The 23900-nt window shown below is 46.6% G+C and overlaps 1 pseudogene; it reads left to right on the top strand.

The window, feature by feature from the left end:
* Positions 21098–21502, top strand: RPL39P30 (ribosomal protein L39 pseudogene 30; annotated as a pseudogene).

The raw sequence follows: 23900 nt of genomic DNA on the forward strand, positions 1-23900 counted from the left end.
AAAATGAAAGGAGCCATGGAGAAGAGGTTTCTAAAGAAAGTCCCTAGAAGAAAAGCACGACAGTTATTAAAGTAAGGAAGCAACAACAATTGGCAGACAACTAAAAAGAGATCACCCCCATTTCTGACTGGCAGAGGTCATGTATCAGATGTCTTTCTCTGATAATAAACATTTTCTAATCACGTAACGTTTTTTAACATTCAAAATTCTCCCCCCCTTAGAACCCTCATACACTGTTGGTGGGAATGTAAATTAGTATAGCCACTACGGAAAACAGTGTGGACATTCCTCAAACAATTAAAAATAGAACCATCATATGATCCAGGAATCCTACCACAGGGAATACATCCAAAAGAAATGAAATTGGCATGTTGAAGAGACATCCGCAATCTCATGTCTATTGCAACACTATTCATAATAGCCAAGATACAGGATCAACCTAAGTGCTCATCATGGATGGATAGACAAAGAAAAAGTAGGGTTGTATATACACAATAGAATACTATTCAGGCTATCATTTGCAACAACATCAATAAACCTGGAGGTCATTACGTTAAGTAAAATATAAACATAATATTGCATAGAAAGACAAGTTCTGCATGATCTCGCTTATCTGTGGAATCTGAAAAAGTTGAACTCATAGAAGTACAGAGTGGAATGGTGGTTACCAGGGGCTGGGGTTGGGGGAAAGAGATTGGGAAAATCTTGGTCAAAGATACAAAATTTCAGTTACATAGAAAGAATAAGTTCAAGGTCGGGCGCGGTGGCTCACGCCTGTAATCCCAGCACTTTGGGAGGCCGAGGCAGGCAGATCACAAAGTCAGGAGATCGAGACCACGGTGAAACCCCATCTCTACTAAAAATACAAAAAATTAGCCCGGCATGGTGGCAGGCGCCTGTAGTCCCAGCTACTCGGGAGGCTGAGGCAGAAGAATGGCGTGAACCTGGGAGGTGGAGCTTGCAGTGAGCCGAGATCGCGCCACTGCACTCCAGCCTGGGCGACAGAGTGAGACTCTGTCTCAAAAAGAAAAAAAAAAAAGAGAGAAAGAATAAGTTCAAGAGAGCTATTGTAAGTAACATGGTAACTATAGTTAACAACAATGTATCATATACATGAAAATTGCTACAAGAGTAGATTGTGTTCTCACCAAAAAAAAAAAAAAATGAGTATGTGAGGTAATATATGTTACTTAGCTTGATTTAGCCATTTCGCCATGTACACAAATTTCAAAACATGTTTTCCACCATAAATATATGTAAATTGTATTTGTCGGTTTTTTTGTTTTTTGGGGTTTTTTTGTTTGTTTGTTTTTTGAGACAGAGTCTCGCACTGTCGCCCGGGCTGGAGTGCAATGGCGTGATCTTGGCTCACTGCCACCTCCGCCTCCCAGGTTCAAGCCATTCTCCTGCCTCAGCCTCCCGCGTAGCTGGGATTAAAGGTGCCCACCACCACGTCCGGCTAATTTTTTGTATTTTTAATAGAGACAGGGTTTCACTATGTTGGCCAGGCTGGTCTCAAACACCTGACCTTGTGATCCGCCTGCCTCAGCCTCCCAAAGTGCTGGGATTACAGGCGTGAGCCACCGTGCCCAGCCTATTTGTCAGTTTTTTTAATCTCCCCTGTGTAGCCCCAGCAAGCTCCTTTCTGGTGATTAAATTATCCTGTATCCTGATGGTGGTAGTGGTTACACAGATCTATACAAGAGACCAAGAGCACAGCAACACACACACACACACACACACACACACATATGCGTGTAAAAACCAGTGGAATCTGAACAAGGTCTGGAGTCTAGTATTGTCCCAATGTCAATTTCCTGGGGCTGCTATTTTGCAGCAGTTACATAAGACACCCCCACTGGGGAGAGCTGCAGGGAGGGCTCGGGAGATCCTTCGTACTATTTTTGTAATTTCCTATGAAGCTATAGTCATTTCAAAAGTAAAAGTGAAAAACAAAATCCCTCCCACAATTTCATCTATTCCAATACATTTCTTGCCACTTAATTTGGGTTGCACTATTTGTAACTGGTAACACACCTAAAATTATTTTGGTAATGAGGAGGCTGAAATGTTTGGGCTTCCAGTGTGTTTTCAGAGGTTTTGTTTGGGAGAGAGGCGAGGAAATAACCCCATGCCCTTTCTGCAAATGGAGCAACTGAGGCTTTGCTGAGATTCATCCACGAGATTGGGCACTCGGAGTAAGGAGCCACGTTGACTGCACTCACCCCTGCATTGCCTGCCCCACCACTGAACCGAGCACCCGGCAGACACAATCAAATTTCAGTAAATGAATACATCATTTACGACAGTCACCCACCATCCCACTGGTAACTCCACAGATGAGCAATGGCAAGCCAAAACTCAAGAGAGACACCAGGAAGGTTTAGACAACATGCCAGAAACTGTCCCTGAGAAAAGGGGAGCCGAGGCTTTGTGAGCAACACAAGCCGAGTCACTACAGACAAATTAGTGACCTTCTAGTTCAGCTGGCCAGGGTGGACCAGCAACTCTGTTAAACAGGAACCTGTCGGCCGGGCATGGTGGCTCACGCCTGTAATCCCAGCACTCTGGGAGGCCGAGGTGGGTGGATCTCTTGAGGTTGGGAGAAAAGGGAATGCTCACACACTGCTGGTGGGGCCGTATAGTTCCGCCACTGTGGAAAGAAGTGCAGCAATTTCTCAAAGAACTTAAGGCAGAACTACCATCCAACCCAGCAATCCCATAATGGGGTATATACCCAAAGGAATATAAATCATTCTACAGGAAGGACGTATGCACACGTGTGTTCATCACAGCATTATTCACAATAGCAAAGTCACAGAATCAATCTAAGTGTCCATCAGCAGTAGACTGGATAAAGAAAATGTGGTATATACACACCATGGAATACTGTGCAGCCATAATAAAGAACAAGATCATGTCCTTTGCAGCAACATGGATGGAGCTGGAGGCCATTATCCTAAGCAAACTAACACAGGAACAGAAAATCAAATACCACATGTTCTCACTTATAAGTAGGAGATAAATATTGAGTATGTATGGACAAAAAGAAGGGATCAATAGATACTGGGGCCTATGTGAGGGTAGAGGGTGAGAGGAGGGAGAGGATCGAAAAACTACCTCTCAGATATTATGCTTATTACCTGGGTGGTGAAATAATCTTTACAGCAAACGCGCATGACATGCAACTTGCCTATATAATGAAGCTACACATGTACCCTAAACCTAAAAGTTTTTAAAAAGTTTTTTTTAAATATTTATGACATTTGCAAAACAATTGTAAATATTTAAAAAAAAAGATGTTGCCATGGCCATATAACTCCATTTGGAGAGATCTATCCTAACAACATAGCCCAAAAGAAAGAAAAAGCAATTGTTGGCAGAAAATGATGTGGAAGAAATGGTTTTTACCATCAATGCCAACACAAAAAGGCTCACTTTCTTCAACACCTATAAAATTAGAAAATAATGGGACTGAGCTTGGCACTAACACAGGTAGGGTCTCAGCATGGGGATTTGCATATAGTGAGCACCCCATGGATGGAATATACTCATCAGTCTGTGAGCAACTTGACCGCAAGACCCAGCTGTAGTTCATCTCTGTATTCCCACCCCTGCCAGCATGCTATCAGCACATTTCACTAAATACTCACTTAAAGGATACTTAACATATCCAGTTAGATTATATTTAATGCAATGGATAAGTCCAGATTTTACCAGTGGGATATTCAACCAAAATTAATTTTAAGTGTATACTTATGCCAAAAATATTATGAGATTGAGCCCTTAATAATCTGGCCAATTTTAAATCCTTGAGGTTCTTGGATGTGTTTATCTTCCTTCAGCCAAACACAATTAGTTCACGTGAAAGGATGAAGAACACTAGGAGTGTGTGAACACACAGAAGTGCCAAGGCCAGCAGTGAACTTGGGCAAGAGGCTGGAGGGATCATTGCAGCTGCATGGACTTCCGCAGAAAAGATTCAATCGACTGAGATAACGGGGCTGAAAGGGCTCAGCCAAGTGCAGAGTGAAATAGATGGAGGTCCCCTACACACCGCTGACTCCAGGAGCTGAGAGGGGCAGGAACCCGCCAACAGGAAGACCCTGAGGGAAGCCCCTCAAGGTACACAGCAGTCTTTGGGAATCACACCCAACACTGAACCTAAAAGAGGTGAAAAAAAAAAATCTGATCCACCCGAAGGCCATGTGGGATGCCTGCACCTTCCCTCTAACTTCCAAGAGGCTGCATCTTCAGAATAGGGGAGCAAATGCTAAGAACAATTTTAAGGTCTTCAGAAGAATTAGAAAATGCAACCACCATTATGAGAAACTGACCAATGAGAAGCTAGAATGTCATCTGAGAAAGTCCCAGCTGCCCTTTCATAAGCTTTGAGAACCTGTGAAAGGTACAGCTAAGCACGTGGGCTGCAGAGTCCAACCACCTGGCTCAACCATCCTCAGCATGGTGCCTAGAATACGTGCTCATATCCAGGTATGGATACAGCACATTCCAGGCAGGTGCTCAATCAACAGCAGTTACATGTTATTGCCAAGACACCCTTTCTCATCTCTTTGTGGGAGGCAGCAATGTCTCCAGCTGGGTCGTTAGAGAGAATGGTTCTGGGTGTGAAGGGGAATCCAGAGCTTCCACATCCTGATGGCTTCTTCATCAAATTGAAAATCAAGTGACAGAACTCTCAAAGCTGGACCATGAAATAACCAGGTGAGGAGCAGGGCCCCCCAATATTCTTTCTTTCTTTTTTTTTTTTTTTTTTGAGACAGGGTCTCACTCTGTCACCCAGGCTGGAGTGCAGTGGTGCAATCTCAGCTCACTACAGCCTCCACCTCCCAGGTTCAAGCAGTTCTCCCACCTCAGCCTCCCAAGTAGCTGGGACTACAAGTGTGCACCACCACAGCCAGCTAATTTGTGTATTTTTGGTAGAGACAGGGTTTCACCATGTTAGCCAGGCTGGTCTCAAACTCCTGACCCCAAGTCATCTGCCCACCTCAGCCTCCCAAAGTGCTGGGATTATAGGCGTGAGCCATCACGCCTGGCTAATTTTTGTATTTTTAGTAGAGACAGGGTTTCATCATGTTGGACAGACTGGTCTCAAACTCCTGACCTCAAGTGATTTGCCCACCTCAGCCTCCCAAAGTGCTGGGATTACAGGCATGAGCCACTGCACCCAGCCACAGCCAAACATAAGCTGAGGACAAGGGGAGGGGTATGGGGGCAAACATCTGGGGTTCCCCAGAACCTCCTTGATCAAGACAGGCATTGAAGTCCCACTCACATACCTCATAACACTCAAAGATTAACCAAGACAATAGACATAAAGAATGAAAAACTATTTTTAAGCCAAAGCCCGCCCTTAGTCTGCCTCATAGTTCAAGAGATGCCAAATTATGTATCATTCATAGATGCACAGATAAGAGTGCCTGCATGGTGGCAGCCAGCCCCTCGCCACATCCTCACTGCAAAATGATGTCGTCGAAACCTGCTCTCACCCAACAGAAATGTGGGCATGTGCTCACCAAAAAACACGTATTAGATGAGTCATGTGGAATTGCCATGTTGGTGGGTCGAAAGTAGTTGTATGCCTGCACTCCCCCGTAGTCAGGTCTAACGCGATTTATAATAGCTCTGAACTAGACACTATTCAAATGCCCATCAGCAATAGAATGGATAAAAAGTCAAGGGAGAGGCTTGCCATGGAGTAGTAGACAGCAGTGAAAAGGAGCCACCTACGACCATGCCCAATGGCACCAATGAATCTCACAGATACAACGCTGAGTGAAAGAAGCCAGACACAGAAAGATGAACAAACAGGAAAAACCGTGGTGACCACCAGAGTGGACACCTCTAGTGAGAAGAAATGGGGGTGATGGGAGTGCACATGAGGCCTTCCCAGGGCTGGCCACTGATTGCCACTGAGTCTGGGACTGATTACATGGGTGGATTCACGCTGTGAAAATTTGGTGCACTGACAAGTATCATTGGTGCACATATCTGCATGTAGGTTTTACTTCCATAAAATGTTTTCTCAAGAGACATGGAAGAAACTTAAATGCATAAAAATGCATAAGAAAGAAGCCAGCCTGGCCAGGTGCAGTGGCTCATGCCTGTAATCCCAATACTTTGGGAGGCCGAGGGGGGCAGATCACTTGAAGTCAGGAATTCAAGACCAGCCTAGCCAACATAGTGAAAGCCCATCTCTACTAAAAATACAAAAATTAGCCAGGCATGGTGGTGGGCACCTGTAATCCCAGCTACTCAGGAGCCTGAAGCAGGAGAATTGCTTGAACCTGGGAAGGCGGAGGTTGCAGTGAGCCAAGATTGTACCACTGCACTCCAGCCTGGGCAACAGAGTGAGACTCCGTCTCAAAAAACAAACAAACAAACAAAACGAAAGAAAGAAAGAAGCCAGCCTGAAAAGGCCGCACGCTATATGATTCCCAGCTCTAGGACATTCTGGAAAAGGCAAAACTATGGAGACAGTAAAAAGATCAGGGTTGGCAGGGTGAAAGGGAACAGGGGGAGGGATGAATAGGCAGAGCACAGAGGATGTTTAGAGCCGTGAAACTCCTCTGTGGATACTACAATGCTGGAGACTTGTCAGGATGCATGCGTCCAAACCCACAGCATGTTCAACACAAAGGGAAGCCTCGTGTAAACTGTGCACTTCATTCAATAACAATGTGTCAATGCTGGCTCATCACCTGTCAGACGTGTACCACACTAAGGCAAGATGGTAACAGTACGGGAGGCTGAGGGGGAGGCGGTGCATGGGAACTCTACTAAGGGCTTCACTTTTCGAAAAATTGCAGTAAACAGTCTATTGACACAAGAAAAAAAAAGAAAAAATCTGTGAGCTAGTTCATGATCTCAAACAAAAGGAGCATTAACAAGTGAAAAAATTATCTGAAACATTTGTAACAAATAGGCACAGGGGAAACTGGACAAATGTGTCCCTCTCTCCACCCTCCGGAAATACATCCTGGGGTGCCCTGTTTCACCGCTCCACAGCAAGGACAAGGAACCCCAATGGGCATCCAAAGCAGCCACAGTGAACCTCCCTCCTTCAGTGTCCGTCCTCTTTCCTCCTTCCTCAGTCTCGTAGATTCACTGTCTTTGTGCAGCCAGACTGGCTTTATTTCTACCTTTCTTGCTGCATGCACGGAATGCTTTACACCAAAGGAAAATTATACGGTGCAAACATTTATTCAGAAACATGGTTTGCAGTGCTACCTCCCTGGAGTACTTGGCCAGGAATGAAAGCCGGGTACACACTGCCGCTGGCGGAGGACAGGAGATGGAATCCTTTGCTCAATATAGTTCCAGCTTTTATGAGGCAGCTTTAGTGGGAATGTGTCAACTTCTCACCTGAAGCCCAGGCTGAAAAGAGCCCTGCCCTGCAAAGCCAGGCAAGTGTCGGGCCGCAAAGAAGGGGCAAGAAAGTGGGAGGCGGAGAGGGGGTCTTGGTGACCAAATGACACCCTCGGGGGCTTTCATCTCAGCTTCAAAGGGAAAGAATAAAATGAAAAGGGGGTGGGGATGGGCAGCAGTACTCACTGGGTCACAAGCAGGTGGGTCACTCTTGTCCTGGACCGTAAGGCCACGGGCATGGGGATGTTGGTGCCTCAGACACACCGTGCCAATGCTTGGAGCAGCCCTGATTCCAAAATCACGCTCCCCCTTCAACCCTGGCACTGCCTCTCCCTGCTTTATTTTCTCCATTGGTGGGCTTAATCATGTCCCCAAAGACATACCCAAGCCCTAAACCGCTGGTACCTGTGACGTGACCTTATTTGGAAGAGGGTCTTTGCAGATGTGATGAAATGAAGACAAGATCATACTGGAGGGGGGTGGGCCCTCATCCAACGACTGCTGTCTTTGTAAGAAGAGAGGACACAGACACGGGGGGAGAGGCCACATGGAGACAGAGCCAGGACTGGAGTGACGAAGCCACCATCCGAGGAACGCCAAGGACTGCCGGCCATACAAGAAGCCGAGAAAAGGGCACAGATCAGATTTTCCCCACAGGTTTCAGAGGGCATGTGGCACCTTGAAATGTGACTTCTGGCTTTCTGAACTGTGAAAGAATTGATTCGTGTTATTGTAAGCCCCGTTTCTGCAACCACGGGACATGAATCCATGCCATGGGGGTTGTTGGCTGAGGATCGGAGGTCCACAGGCACAAGGCTGGGGGCTGCTGTGGTCACTGCTGGGGCCCATGGGCCTGGCACCAGGTGGGCCTCCATAATTATGTGCTGAGTGGGTGGATTCTCAGAGGAGGTCAGTTCAACATTTTACAGGGCAACACAGGGGGTCCTCCTGGAGCTGGATTTGGGGGCTCTTGAAACAGTGGTGAGAGTTTACCTGCTCTTCCTGGCACATCCTTCCTCACTGAGCCCCACACCGGGTTGGTGTTCTCACACCCCCTCCCCGCACCGCAAAACCACAGAGCGGCACCTTCTCTCTCGGGCAGGTAGGCAGGGAGGGCCAGCTTCTCCTTCTTTGCTTTTACACGTTCCTCTCTCTGACCCTTGCTTGTCTGGTTGATGCATTCGTGCCTGAAAAGCTCCAGACAGAGGAAGGGATGGAGGAGGCAGCAGAGAGGAAGGAGAGGACAGGGGTATCTCTGTGCATGCGGGGCCAGATCACAGCTGCAGCCGCTGCGTCTCACCAAAGCCACCACTCCCAAGCTGGGCAGGGAACAACCTAAGAGGTGCCCACATTGTTAAAGGGGCCGTAACAACCAGGAACCGGCCCCACTGACAGCTCCGCTCTGGACTTCAGGTCCCCAGAACTGTGAGACAATAAATTCCTCTTGTTCTAAGCCTCCAGATGTATGGCACTTTGCTATGGCTGCTGTGAGACACAGAGCCACCCTAACCTCGGCTCGGAAGAAGGACCCCTGAGATGCGCAGACACCCCAATCTCGGCTCGGAAGAAGGACCCCGCCTGAGGGGCCCAGCCCAGCTGAGCAGGTGCCTCGTTTTGTTACTGCAGTGCCTCCTGGGAAGGACCCTACTCCAGGCTGAAGCAACACAGCTCCTCATTGCAACCCTCGATTGTTCCATAAAATGCAAAGCTGGGCCCGGCGCGGTGGCTCATGCCTGTAATCTCAACAATTTGGAAGGCCAAGGCAGGAGTATCGCTTGAGGCCAGAAGTTCGAGACCAGCCTGGGCAACATAGTGAGACCCCCATCTCTAAAAAAAAAAAAAAAAAAAAAATTTAATTAGGCAGGCATGGTGGCACATACCTGCAGCTCCAGCTAATCATGAGGTTATGGCAGGAGGATGGCTTGAGCCTGGAAGGCAGAGGTTGCAGTGAGCTGGGATCATGCCACTGCTCTCCAGCCTGAGTAACAGAACGAGACCCTGTCTCAGAAAAAAAAAAAAAAATTAATTAAAAAATAAAATGCAAAGCTGGTGATGTGTAGACACGGCCAAGTTGTAAACAAGCGGGAGGCCCAGTGGCAGTGGTGAAGCATGTGGATTCAGGTCTGGCTCAGCCACCCCAGATGCAGGGTCTCACTGAGCTCAGGGAGCACAGGACCTTCCTCAGAGGGGTTTTGTGAAAGGTCAGCGAGCTCATGCTGATAAAAAGATGGAGTGCAGGGCCCGTCCATTGACAGTGATGCCAATAAACATCAATTCCTGTCATGATTTTTATTCTTGTTATTTTTGGAGCCTCCAAAATATTCATACTCTGCTAGGCGTGGTAGCTCACACCTGTAATCCCAGTACTTTGGGAGACTGAGGCAGGAGGATCACTTGAGGCCAGGAGGTCAAGTGAGCTGTGATTTCCACTGCACTCCAGCCTGGGACACAGAGCAAAACCATGTCTCAAAAAAAAAAAAAAAAAAAATCTAAAAATAAAAATAAAAAAATGTAGGAAAATGTTCACATTCTTTGATCCAGAAATCCCACTTTGGGGAATCTATCCCTAAGAAAATAATACTAAATGAGGGGAGAAAATATGTTATACTATGCTATTTATGGCTTTATGTTATTGGTAATATTGAAAAGTTAGAAGCAGCTCAAGGTTCAATAATAGGAATGTGATTAATTAACCTAAGTATCTAATTGATGAACTATCAGGCAGCCACCAAAAATAATTTAAAGATTGTGTAATACCTGGGGAAATGCTTATAATTTCAAGCAAAAAAAGCAAAATATAAAACTGTAAGTATGCATACTGAGGCACCAAAAAACAGATACTCACAAGAAAGAAAGACACCACATTTAACAGGGTTGCCTATTGAAAAGACGGAAATGCGTTTCTTTAATAAGTATGTATACTTTAGGTAGTAGGTAGAAAAAAGTTTTAAGAGGGGCCAGGCGAGGTGGCTCATACTGTAATCCAGCACTTTGGGAGGCCAAGGCAGGCAAATCACCTGAGGTCAGGAGTTTGAGACCAGCCCGGCCAATATGGCAAAACCTTGTCTCTACTAAAAATACAAAAATTAGCCAGGCACGGTGGCATGTGTCTGTAATCCCAGCTACGTGGGACGCTGAGGCAGGAGAATCGCTTGAACCTGGGAGGCGGAGGTTCCAATGAGCCAAGATCGTGCCACTGCACTCCAGTCTGGGCGACAGAGCGAGATCTCAAAAAAAAAAAAAAAAAAACTGTATCAAGATAATTTGAATGTATATACTCATCCATACGGAGTACATATATGCACATTCATAAATATATACTAGATAGATAGATAGATAGATGATAGATAATGTGAGTCTGTGTGTGTCAGTCAGGATTTTATTCCCTCAAGGAAAAGTTAAAATCTTAATTTGTTTGAGGAAAAAAAAACATCCCTGAAGGTGGGCTCCAAATGATCTATGGAAACAGGTGACCAGTCTGAATACATGAATTCATGAAAATGAATTTATGAATACGTGATGTAGAGAGGAATGATTTTACACATAGCATGTTCCTGGCAAAGTGTCAGCCATACATTTCAAAATTATTTTTTAATTAATTTCAGTGATAAAAAAGAAAGAAAAAGTCATTGAGTAATTAAATTCCCTGCCTCTAAGCGTTTTCACTTAAATAGATCCATTTGCTTATTAACGGACTCCACAGAAATTCATAGGCCAAAAACATGAGGCCTGAACTGGTAACCTTGGCCTCACACCACAAACCCCATGGCTCCCAGTGCTGCTCTGGGTTCAGATTTAACTCCCACTGTGGTCCTTGGCAGGTGACTCAGGCCTGGATTTCCACTTCTTTGCAGAGAGAATTAAAAATCATTGTGGATTCTGCTGGCAGGGCTGGGACGGGTCACATAGCGCCCACCTGCTGTCCACTTTGGGCACAGAGGGCAAGGTCGGGACTCCACACACAGCGCCCACCTGCCACTCACCCACTAAAGACCACAAGCTAGAGAATGTTCCTTTCTAAGCCTCACTTTCCTCTGCAGAAAAGTGGGAGTAACAAAGCACCCCTCTTACCTCTTATCGAAATGAACGAGACAAAATTGGGATTGGTGCGTGAGTCGGGAAGGCCAGGAAAAAGTTTAAAATTTTTTTAAAAGATGAAACAGGGGGCCAGGCATGGTGGCTCACGCCTGTAATCCCAGGACCTTGGGAGGCTGAGGCCCTAGGGGCTCGAGAGTAGCCTGGGCAACATGGCGAAACCCCGTCTCTACAAAAAATACAAAAATTAGCTGGGCATGGTGGCATGTTCCTGTAGTCCCAACTACTCAGGAGGCTGAGGTTAGAGAATCCCTTGAGCCCAGGAGGTCAAGGCTACAGTGAGCTATGATTGTACCACTGCACTCTAGCCTGGGTGACAAAGTGAGACTCTGTCTCAAAAAAAAAAAAAAAAGGAAAAAACTGATAAAACTGGGACTCACAGGTCAAGGGTTCACCCCACACTGGACTCCACGCAATGGTTTTTACTTCCTCTTCCCAGTTTTTTGTTTTTTGGTCTTTTTTTTTTTTCCTTTAAGAGGTGGGTTGTTGTTCCATCACCCAGGCTGGAGTGCAGTGGTGCAGTCTCCAACTCCTAGTCTCAAGCTATCCTCCCACCTCAGCTTCCTAAAGTGCTGGGATTACACATGGGAACCACCATGCCCAGCCTCCAGTTATTTTTTAATATCAGGTTGGTGCAAAAGTAAACCGTGATTACTTTTACTTTTGTACTGACCTAACAAATGACTCAACACACGGTTGAGTTTAAGCTTGTATTTTTCTTTTTGCCAAAGACTGGGTTTGAGTGAACGATCATGGCTGGTTTTATTGGCCACTTACTATATACCAAGTGTTTATCCTATCATCAGCCACCTAACCCTTTCAGGAGCCCGGTGAGTTCCCGATGTTATTTCCCTATTCAACAGATAGGGAGACTGAGGCTCAGTAAGCAGTAGAACTAGGATTTCAATTCCGGCGGTTAGACCCTAAAGCCCCTGAGCTTAACTCCTACTCCATGCTAACGGATCTTCTGTGAAAGGTCAGGAGCCAAGATTGCACCACTGCACTCCAGCCTGAGCAACAGAGCAAGCCCTTGTCTCAAAAAAAAAAAAAAAAAAAATCCCAGCTACCATTCACAAGCTGTGTGATCTCAGGTGGGTTACTAGGCCTCTCTGTTCCTCCATCTCCTCAGCTCTCAGATAACAATAGTGCCTGCCTCACAGGCTGTTGTGACTATCATCTGAAATAACGTACGTAGAGTGTGCACAGATCCAGATGGAGATTCAGGGAAGCTACTGAACTCATTCAATGTTTCACACTCCAGGTCTGCGCACCAGCCACCAGGGACACCAGAAAATCCGAGTACAGGATCATCATGGTTGACTCAGATCAGGGGCAGCAAACGTTTTCATAAAGGACCAGATGGTAGAAATTTGTGGGCCTCCAAAATAATTGGAGGTTGGTCGTGGTAGCTAAGCCCTGTGGTCCCAGCACTTTGGGAGAGCAAGGCATGAGGATCACTTGAGCCCAGGAATTCCAGGCTGCCATGAGCCGTGATCATGCCAATGCACTCCAGCCTGGGTGACAGAGCGAGACCTCATCTCAATAAATAAATAAATAAATAAATAAATAAATAAATAACAATAATACTTCGGAAGAGGAAGTAAAAGTTTCCATCAAAACTACTCAACCCTGGACCCCAGAGCAAACTTGAAAACTGAGTTCTCAGCCATGATGGCGTGGAGGGTCAGACACACTCGTTATACCCCTCCCTCACTAGCCATGATCACGCTTTCTCCCCTAAGGGCTAAACAGAAAGCAGTCCTTACAAAAGCCTCCACCGCTGACATCAACCTACAGCCTGATGCTGCCCCTCCTTTTTGCCTGATAAGAGACCACCGACCACGGAGTGGTTCTTGCCAGTGTATGGAGGATGCGCAGTGAGGGTTTTCCTGTCCTCCACTTCACCCTTGACGTCACAGCGCTGCAAACTCCACCCTCAGATTACGCCAAGGCCGCCATTTTTTCTACATGGAGCCCACGAAGGAGCATGAAGCTCAATCGTGCACGTGTGTTTCTCCTTTCATAAATATTCATGACTCCTCCTATAGCTTATTGAATATGTATATTTGGCCTCCCTGCTCTACATAAATTCCTGTTCCCTTTTCCCCTCCCTTGAAGTATCTGTTTCTGCTTCCCAGCCTGTCAGACTGGCCACCCTGCAGGCTGCAACCCTTTATGAGAAATAAAGCTCTCCTTCCCAAATTAAGCAAACAAACAAACAAAAACTACTCAACCCTGTTGTTGTAATGCAAAAGCAGACACAGACAGCCCCTCAGTGAATGAGGGTGGCTGCGTTCCAATAATACTTCACTTATGAATGGGGGCTGCAGGGTCAGACAGGTCATGGTCTGTATTAGCTCATTCTCACATTACTATAAGGAACTATCTGAGACTGGGTAATTTATAAAGAAAAGAGGTTGAATTGACTCACAGTTCCACAGGCTGTACAGGGAGCATAACTGGGGAGGCCTCAGGAAACTTACAGTCATGGTGGAAGGCGAAAGGAAAGCAGGCACATCTTCACATGGCAGCAGGAGAGAGAGAGGCAAGAGGGAGGTGCTACACACTTTCAAACAACGAGATCTCATGAGAACTCACTATCACGAGAACAGCAAGGGGGAAGTCCGCCCCCATGATCCAATCACCTTCCATCAGGCCTCTCCTCCAACACTAAGGATTACAATTCGACATGGGATTCGGGTGGGGACCAAACCATACCACGGACCAGCAGTGGGGCTGGGTGCTCTGACTAAGGCACAGTTTTGGCAAAAAGGAAAAGGAGGGATGGATAGTGGGTAAAGTACTAACAGAATGTGACACAACCACCAAGCTAAATCTGTGTGCCAGGAGCTGCACAGCACAGCAGACAACCAGAGCCAGGCATTGCCCAGTGGAGGAAGAGCCCTGCCAGGGGTTCATGGTGCTCACAGGAGAGGAGGAGAGGCTGTCACGGGAAGACACCCTTTCTCCATGCTGCTCCCAGGATTCTCCACACACCCAGTTCCAGGTCTGCCTTCTGGGATGGAAACCCGGCATCTAACAACACAGGCAACCATGGCACGAAGCCTGCCCACTGGGCAGTTGGGTGCGGACGGGGCACTGAAGGATATGGCTCCTTCCACAGCTTAGGCCTCCCACGAGGGGCTTTCTCCATCACTTTATACCTGGGGCAGACTTGAGTCAAACTCACCAAGCGCCTTCCATCCTCAGGGTCTTCGCAAATGCTAACCCTCCTACTGGCACACGCTGTTCCCCCAACCTACAACATCCTTCCCTCTGCTCTTCACCAGCCATCTCCTTCCTTCCTCAGGTTTCAGCATAAGCATGACTTTCCAGGGACAACGCCCCAGGGCGCAGACACCAATCTCGCCCTCTACTAGCTTAGGGCTCCCTTTCACAAACTCACGTGCACCTGCACCTTCCCCTTACAATTCTAACCACGTTGTGGTTCTACAGCATTCGTCCATCTCCCCTCCTGGGCTCAGGCCTATGTGAGCTGGGACCACATTGGTCTTATTCTCTGGGGTTTCCCCAGTTCCTAGCACAAAGTCTGACTCAGATATTTGTTGAATAAATGACTAGAAAGAAAACAAAATGTGCAAGCAGAATTCTCTGATTCCAAAGATGATGTTGAAGCTCAGTAGCATTACATCAATAGGAAAAGTAATGTTTTCACCTTTTTTTCTCTTATATCTTCCCGTTTTCTTGCTTTCCAAATTAGAAACCTAGGTAAAGTGAGTTCACATAAAGGACTAATCTCTTTATTTAAAAAAAAAAGTTTTTCAGTGACTGGTGTATTTAATTAGCATCAAAAAAAATAGTTACATTATATATTTTATAAAACTACTAATCCACATGTGTGCAAATTTGCCCCTAAGGACAACTTAATATTTTTATGATATGCTTTCAATATTTCCCCATTGTTCTAAAGTCATATTTTTTGCTATTAAAATATATAATAAAGTTCTCGAGAAATAAAAAAAAACAGGGTCACTCTAGGCAAATAAAAGTGAAAGACTAAGAACATACATGACCACTTTTCTTTTTTTTCTTTGTCTTTGACAAGGAAAGGGTCTGAAATTAATTTTACCTTGTTGATTAAAAAAATACCTTGAAATGGTCACAGGCAGGTTTTACACTGAACTTGAACTTCTCATGCTGCTTCAGCTTTCCTTCCACAAAATCAAGAGGCTCAGCTGATACTACTCTGGGAAGACGCAGTGGTGTGCAGGCCAGTGTTCAACAGCCGGCTTTTAAGTCAGGGAACCCTGATTCGCAGCATTTGCCAATTGCTGTGGTGTGAATGCCACCAGCCCAGCTGATTTCACACAGACATGACATGATGTACACACTCCAGAGAGGTATCCTGCGCCAGCTCCCAGACTGCAGGCGGAACACATCAAAGGGATACCGTGTGAGGGGGATCTATAATCTCCTGCCCGGTTCATTGTGCATAGTAATTGTTCCATAAATGTTAGATTCTATCACTGGATGCTGACCCATTCTTTTCTTTCTTTTTTTTTTTTTGAGACAGGACTTGCTCTCTTGCCCAGGCTGGAGTGCAGTGGCATGACCGTGGCCCACTGCAGCCTAGACCTCCTGGGGTCATGCAGTCCTCCCCACCTCAGCCTCCCAAATAGCTGGAACTACAGGTGTGCATCACCATCCCCAGCTTATTTTTGTATTTTTTTTCTAGAGATGGGTCTTGCTGTGTTGCTCAGGCTGGTCTCAAACTCCTGGGCTCAAGGGATCCTCCTGCCTCAGCCTCCCAACGTACTGGGATTACAGGTGTGTGAGCCACCGTGCCCGGTTGGTGACCTATTCTTTAGTAACTGTTCCCTTGAGGAAGAATCTGACACCCTGGTGCATTCTCACGCACTATCCCCACCAGCCTGCCAGGGCATTCCCTGAGCACTGGGCACAGGGGAAGCTGGACAACCAGTCCCGGGGCTTGGCAAAAGGGGGCCCTCAGTGGAAGGCTGAGTCCTGCTGCTTGCCCTGAGCCGGGGAAACCCAGAATGTCTCAGAAGTGGATACAAAGGGCATCGGGCATCCAGGAACCCATAAAGCTTCTAGGACCTGACACTGCAAACCACGTCATCAGGAGGGCAGGGCTTGGCGTCAGGTGACCTGGATGGAAGGGATTTTTTTTCTGTCCCCACCTTGCCACGTACTGTGTGACCTTGGGTGAGTCAGCAGCTCTTCCCCTCTGAGCCTCAGTTACCTCGTTTGTAAAAGAGAAAGGCCCACTGCAGAACTGTGAAGGGTGTAAGAGAAAAAGTAGGGGAAGCACGTGGCTGAGATTCAAAGAATCCCAAACCACCCAGAGGCGGTGCAGGATTCAGATGGCGCTGTCCAGCCCTAGAGTCAGCACCAGCCCCGGAGTCAGCACCAGCCCCACTAAGCCACACAGACACAGGCTCCCACAGGAACTAAGGATGAGGAACACAGAAGGCGTCGTAAACACCGTGGTGCAGAAAATGGTTCGTACTGTGGCTTCAGAGCACCTGAAACACAGCTGGAACTGAGACATGCCCTCAGAATAAGTCACACACTGGATTTCAAAGGCTTCATATGAAAAAGAGAATGTAAATATCTCATTAATATTCCACTGTTGCTTACATGTGGACAGGGTAATACTTTGGATACGATGAGTTAAATAAAATATATTATTAAAATTAATTTCAGCCGGGTGCAGTGGTTCACATCTGTAATCCCAGCACTTTGGGAGGCCGAGGCTGGCAGATCACTTGAAGCCAGGAGTTTGAGACCAACCTGAGCAACATGGGGAGACCCCATCTCTACTAAAAATACAAAAATTAGCCAGGCATGGTGGTACGTGCCTGTAATCCCAGCTACTGAGGAGACTGAGGCAGAAGAAACACTTGAACCCAGGAGGCGGAGGTTGCAGTGAGCCAAGATTGTACCACTGCACTCCAGCCTGGGCGACAGAGTGAGGCTCCATCTCAAAATAAATAAATAAATAAATAAATAAATAAATAAATGTAATTTCACTTTCACTTTTTAGAATGTGGCTGCTGAAAAATTTCAAATCACACGTGTGGATCATATTATGTTTCTGTAGGACGGTGCTGGGGTAGACAGACCATGGATTCACACCACTTGCATCATGGACTGTGTGACCCTGCACAACTGGCCCCCCAGCTTCCTGATCTATACATGACAGCTGTTCCACACGTTCCACCACCTGGAAAAGAGCACTTCCAAATGGGCCCTTTCCCCAGGTGTGTCTGATGGAATCCTCTCCTCTGGGAAAAGCTCTTCCCTTCCCTCTCATCTTGGCAAGCCCTGGGGACTCACAAAGCCTTTGTTTGCTGAAGAACTGACTGGCAGGGAGACACTAGGCAAGAAAAACAAACAGGGCCCCGTCCACATGGTTATTTAAGAGAAACAGTGAAAACAAACAAGAGAAGAAAGAAGTAGTCAAGAGATATCCAAGTTGTTAATGAGGCACCCTTAGAAATCACTCCAAGCTCCAAGTGGGAGGCAGGGGAGCAAAGGAGAAACCAGGTGGAAGAAAGGGGCTATAAAGACGGGGAAGGAAATCGAGCAGGGAGAAATCAAAAGGGAGGCCAAATCTGGAGGAAGGAGCGCCCAGCTCAGGTGGGAGGAGGAAAGTGGTCTCCAGGTTTGGAAGTAATTATTTAAACATTTTGCACCTTTCAAAACAACAGACAGCAACTTCCAGTTCCAAATATCTTTGTGCTCCCCTGTTGCAGAGCCTATTGGCCTCTAAACCCAGCAGGCTGAGAGCAGCTTTCAGCATTAGCTCTGCCAAGCTGAAGGAAAACATCTCAGCCTCAGCTTGAAGCAAGGGGCATTCCACCGGGGTCGCTCCATGTGCCACCCCAGGCTGAGACCATGGCAAGAGAATGCAGGGATGGTTTGTCTGCTGCCACTGGGATGGAACCAGCTGGAACCCACTCACATCCTACACCAGCAAGCAGATGCACTGTGATGGATGAGGGTCAAGAACCTGCCCCCAGCCTGTGTCCTGGAGTGGGAGGGGCTTTACTGGAGCCCCAGAGTCTTCTAGGGGGAGGGAAATAAAGCCAGCTGAGCCTCACAGCAAAAGCTGATGAGCTGTCTAGAGAAGCCTTTGTCGGGGCAGTCTACGCATACTTTGACAAGCAGAAATAGAGTCCTACATCACGCGGTGTCACGAGGGACCCCTCTGCACCATATAATACCTGGAAATGCTGTCTCCAAAGACATTGACCTATAAGGTCAGGTGAAATCCTTCATTTGACCTGCCTTTTCAAGAGAGTCTGATTAAGACCCTGCCCATGCCAAGCTAATAAAACATAGGTTCCTCTCTGCCGTGGCTCTACTCCCTCTTGTAGGCCCCATGCTGATCACCAGCTTCCAAGGGAGGGGGCAATACCAGCTGGGCCCAGGGAGTTTCCCAGAGTGCACTGCCCTGAATGCACCCCATCACCTCATCCTGGAAGGTGCCATCTCTCCCTCCTCCTGACCCTGCAGGAAAGCCTTCCCTGGCTCTCCTGCTTCCTCTGGGCTAAAAGTTCCCCTTGCTCCGCTGGCTCCAGCACAGCTATGGGTGCCCTCTGCCTTCTGCAGCATAATTAGTTATGGATTTGTTCATTTCCACAGCTGGCTGTCAGCTTCTGGGAAGACCATGAGTGCCTCGATCTATACCATCTTGGCATTTGCATACTGCAGGTGCTGAATACAAACAGCGAGTGAATGAATCAATGAGTGAAAGAAAATTGACTAGTGGACAGTTCAGAGCCATTTTGAGCTCTTCCTGTTTAACAAGCAGCACAGGGATGAAGAGCACAGACTCCCATGCAGTGGCCTGGCTTTGAACCCACTCCCCACCACTGTGTGAACTTGGGCAAGGTACTTAACATCTCTGTGCATAATTATAGTACCCACTTCTTGAGGTAGGAGTAACCTAGTTTCTCTATTTGAAGCACTTAGAGCAGTGCCAGACACACGGTAGGTCCAGGGAAATCGAGGAGCGTCGGCTCTGATTATTCTGTTTGAACAAAGAACACAAAACCAAGTGCTGCTTAAAAAATTCTGACGTCAGCCGGGCGCGGTGGCTCACGCCTGTAATCCCAGCACTTTGGGAGGCTGAGGCAGGCAGATCACGAGGTCAGGAGATGAAGACCATCCTGGCTAACATGGTGAAACCCCGTCTCTACTAAAAATACAAAAAATTAGCCGGGCGTGGTGGTGGGCGCCTGTAGTCCCAGCTACTCGGGAGGCTGAGGCAGGAGAATGGCGTGAACCCAGGAGGTGGGGCTTGCAGTGAGCTGAGATCGCACCACTGCACTCCAGCCTGGGCGACAAAGCAAGACTCCATCTCAAAAAAAAAAAAATATTCTGATGTCAATCCCAACAGCCCATTTTGAGCTCACTGCCTTAACACAGAAGGCAAGGAGTTAAACCCTTCAGCCTCAGGAAAAAGGGATTAGCAGTGGTGTGTCTGTTTAGTTACTCAGCTCCCTGCCTGTCCAGAGAAAAATATCTTGAAAGATTAGATTATGTAGCTCGGACTGCAGGGCCACAGTGGAGAGAGGGGGCTGCTGTCACCTCCCAGCTAAGCCAAGTGCTGGAGGCTAATTTCCCGTAGGTGGTCTGGCCAGATTTCCTGGAGGCCAAGGGCTGGAGCAAACAGCCTTTCCTGTCCCCCCAGGGATTACAGCGTGAAAGCACTTTTTAAACCTTAAATTAAAAAACCGAAAGGCCGTGTCCATTCTGCAAACTCTGCGTATTTAATTTTTAAAACAGCAACACATCAAGTGCGCTTGAAAGTGATGGACCCCTGCCTTGGACGATTGAAAAGCATTCACCTTCATGAAAAATAATTCAAGTGGAGTGACATGTGCCTGACAAAATGATTCAAAGGCTTTCTTTCCTCCTCTGGAACCTTCTTCACTTCTCCAGGTATTAGGGCTGTGCTGGGCGTTGACAAGGGACATTTGGAAATCGTTCGTACTGTGGTATTATAACCTTTCAAGGTTGCCATGGCTCAGCAGCCCTAGAATAGGAAAGTGTCCTTGCTACAGGTATAAAATCAACCACGGGCATGAAGCAGAGAGATGGCGCTTTCTGTTGAAGACTGTGGTTGTCCTACGTGACCATGCGCATGTTCTTCAGACCCATGGCAACAGCCAGAGATACCCACGTGGAGCAAAGATCAAACACGGAGCAGAGAAGCTACAACCCATGATGGCTGAAATTGAAAGCTCATAGATGAAGCACCACAAAACCCCAATTCAAGACTTCGCTCTCCACTTCTGAGCTGTGTAACCCTGGGCCAGTTTCTTGACTTCTCTGAGCCTCTATTTCCTTATCTGTTCGATGACAGAAATATCCTTACCCACTTCACAGGTTTGCAGTGAAGATTCAGTGAGAGCTTGTACTTGAAGATGTTTTATAAACTGTTAAGACAACATTCAAATGGGAGCTGTTACTGTTCTTACCCAGAAAATGGATTTGTTTGTTCTCTTTTCATTCATGCCCAGGAATGAACCAGATATACCACTTGTCATTCACTGACTATGAGTGTAGAGAGTAAAGCTTCGTAGGAAAGAAGGTCAGTCTCAGAAATCTATGGAGTAGCCCCCCACCTTCCTTTCTCTGCCATCATGATGTGTGCTTGACTCCACTTCTTGCTATGTCTTCTCAGAAGACTTTCAGAATTAAGTGATTCCTGGCCAAGAAACAAAAGCAAAATCGTCCCATTCCTCAGTGGATTTGGATGAAAACTGGTAATAAAATCAGGTACAACTCCAAAAGGAGACATTGGAGAAGAACTAAACTGGGTCTACTAGGAATTGCACATTGGATGGCACACACATTTATGCTGTCTGAAGGTCACAATCATGTTACCATATCAAGCTGAAAATGTCACCACTATCAGGAGAGTTGGACATGTTTTATTGGGAATATGTATTTTTTTCTCTGAATCTGTTATGAACACGTTGTTTGGCTGGGTTTAGTAATAAATATGTGAGACCTTTGATTTAAAAAAAAAATGAAATCTATGCAGTGATTCCCCCAGTTGAGACTCATTTAAAGTCTACCATGCATTGGTCAGGTGTAATACAGTGTTCCTTCAGAATCCTGTCCTGGCCAGGCACAGTGGCTCACGCCTGTAATCCCAGCACTTTGGGAGGCCAGGGCGGGCAAATCAGTTGAGGTCAGGAGTTTGAGACCAGCCTGGAAAACATGGCGAAACCCCGTCTCTACTAAAAATGTAAAAATTAGCTGGGGGTAGTGGTGCACACCTGTAATCCCAGCTACTCAGGAGACTAAGGCACAAGAATCACTTGAATCTGGGAGGTGGAGGTTGCAGTGAGCCAAGACCATGCCACTGCAATCCAGTTTGGGCAACAGAGTAAGACTCTGTCTCAAAAATAAATAAATAAATAAATAATTTTTTAAAAATAAAATAAAATAAAAATTCTGTCCTGAACCAGTTTGAGATGCTGTCAAGTCCCCTCTTGAACAAGCCCACGCTCCATCCACTGTCCTATCAGAGCTCATGCCCTGAGCCCCTACACACCTTACCTGTCTCCCCAGGGCCAGGTACCTGACAGCTAGGGATAGCCCTATGCTTTGGAGCCCACAAAATTTTTCAAATTGGTCCACAGGAGCCCACAAAACCTGGTTAAGTACACTCCGCTGACCACATATAAGCTGCTGGCTACAGCCGCTCACTGTTACCCATCCTTGGGTGCAGCCCCCTGCATGGCCCTGCCTGGCAGCCAGCTCCCATTTGCAGCTGTAAGTAATAGTGTCCTGTCCTATCAGGGTACTGTGTGTCCTGCCATCAAAAAAATCTTTAAATCTTATCAAACACTCAGGTTCTCAAAGAGATGTAAACCAAGACTTCTGCTGCTTTGCTTTTTAATAATGGCAAATCAATCAGAAGTCAATTTGAGGTCCATCAAAATTCAATGTTGCCTCTGGACATTAAAGAGTACAGGGCAGACAGACATGGGGAGAAATCCTAGATATATTGTGAAATGGGAAGGAAAAACTAAGTTCCAGCATCATATGCCTGGAGCCTGTGAGCTGTGGAAGGAGGGGACCATTTTTTCTTTTTTTCTTTTTTTTTGAGACGGAGTCTCGCTGTCACCCAGGCTGGAGTGCAGTGGTGCGATCTCAGCTCACTGCAGGCTCCTCCCCCCAGGTTCATGCCATTCTCCTGCCTCAGCCTCCCGAGTAGCTGGGACTATAGGTGCCCGCCACCTCGCCCAGCTAATTTTTTGTATTTTTAGTAGAGACGGGGTTTCACCATGTTAGCCAGGATGGTCTCCATCTCCTGACCTCATGATCCGCCTGCCTCGGCCTCCCATTTTTGTTCGTTATTCAATCTGCAGCTCCCAGCTTTACACCTGACACACAACAGGTGCTGGGAAATGCCATTGAACCTATTAATAGGTATGGGACTTTTCCACTGATGCGGCAACCTGTGAGAAAAGGCTTACTCTCCGTTCACGTGCAGAAGTGCCCAGGAAGGAGCCATCTAAACCATTCAGGTTTCAACTATCCGGGGAGGAAAGGGGATATCACCTTTTTCTCTGAACTTCAGAATTATCTGAATGTTTAACCTTGAAGATAAATTACTGCCTGGCTTGTATAATCTATAAAGCAATCTATAAAGAAATAAAGACTCCACCCCCGCCAAAAAAAGGAGAAAGAAACACATTTGTAATTAATACCCTCTGTTGAATCACAAGAATTCAGGAGTTATTAGAAAAAGAGTCATTAAGGATCCATAATTTAAAAGTAAAATTTAAAATTCCAAGAAGAAATTTGTGCAGCACCCTTCCCTTCTCCAACCTTCCAGGAGTGAGGAACTGATAAGGCAAATAAAATAAAGAATTATTATGTATTAATCAATAATGAATAATGAATCAATGAATAAGGAGCTGAAGCTAGAAATCAGAGCACTCCCAGCTTTGCCTTTGTATTGTTATCAATCAAGATCACTTTGGTTAATAATAAAAGGCTCAAAATATACAGATGGGGCGAGTCCTGGCACAGAGCCTTACAGGAATGAGAATGCAGTGGCCCACTTCTCTCTCATTCCTTCAAAGCCTGTGCACAAGAAGAATGGAGAGGTAAGAAGGAAAGTAATTTCCCTCCTCTCTACCCAAGCAAGGGGTATCCCCAAGGTACAGAGAGGAAACTCTGGCGAGCAACAAGGCTTTATTAGACCATGATAGGCTGGGTGTAGTGGCTCATGCCTGTAATCCCAGTACTTTAGGAGGCCAAGGCAGAAGGATCACTTGAGCCCAGGAGTTCGAGACCAGCCTGGACAACATGGCGAAATGCCATCTCTACCAAAAAATGCAAAAAGTAGCCAGGCATAGTGGCGCACACCTGTGGGACCAGCTGTTCGGGAGGCTGAGGTC

This window comes from Homo sapiens, chromosome 16 (genome assembly GCF_000001405.40).
Source record: "Homo sapiens chromosome 16, GRCh38.p14 Primary Assembly".
NCBI classification, from domain to species: Eukaryota; Metazoa; Chordata; class Mammalia; order Primates; family Hominidae; genus Homo; species Homo sapiens.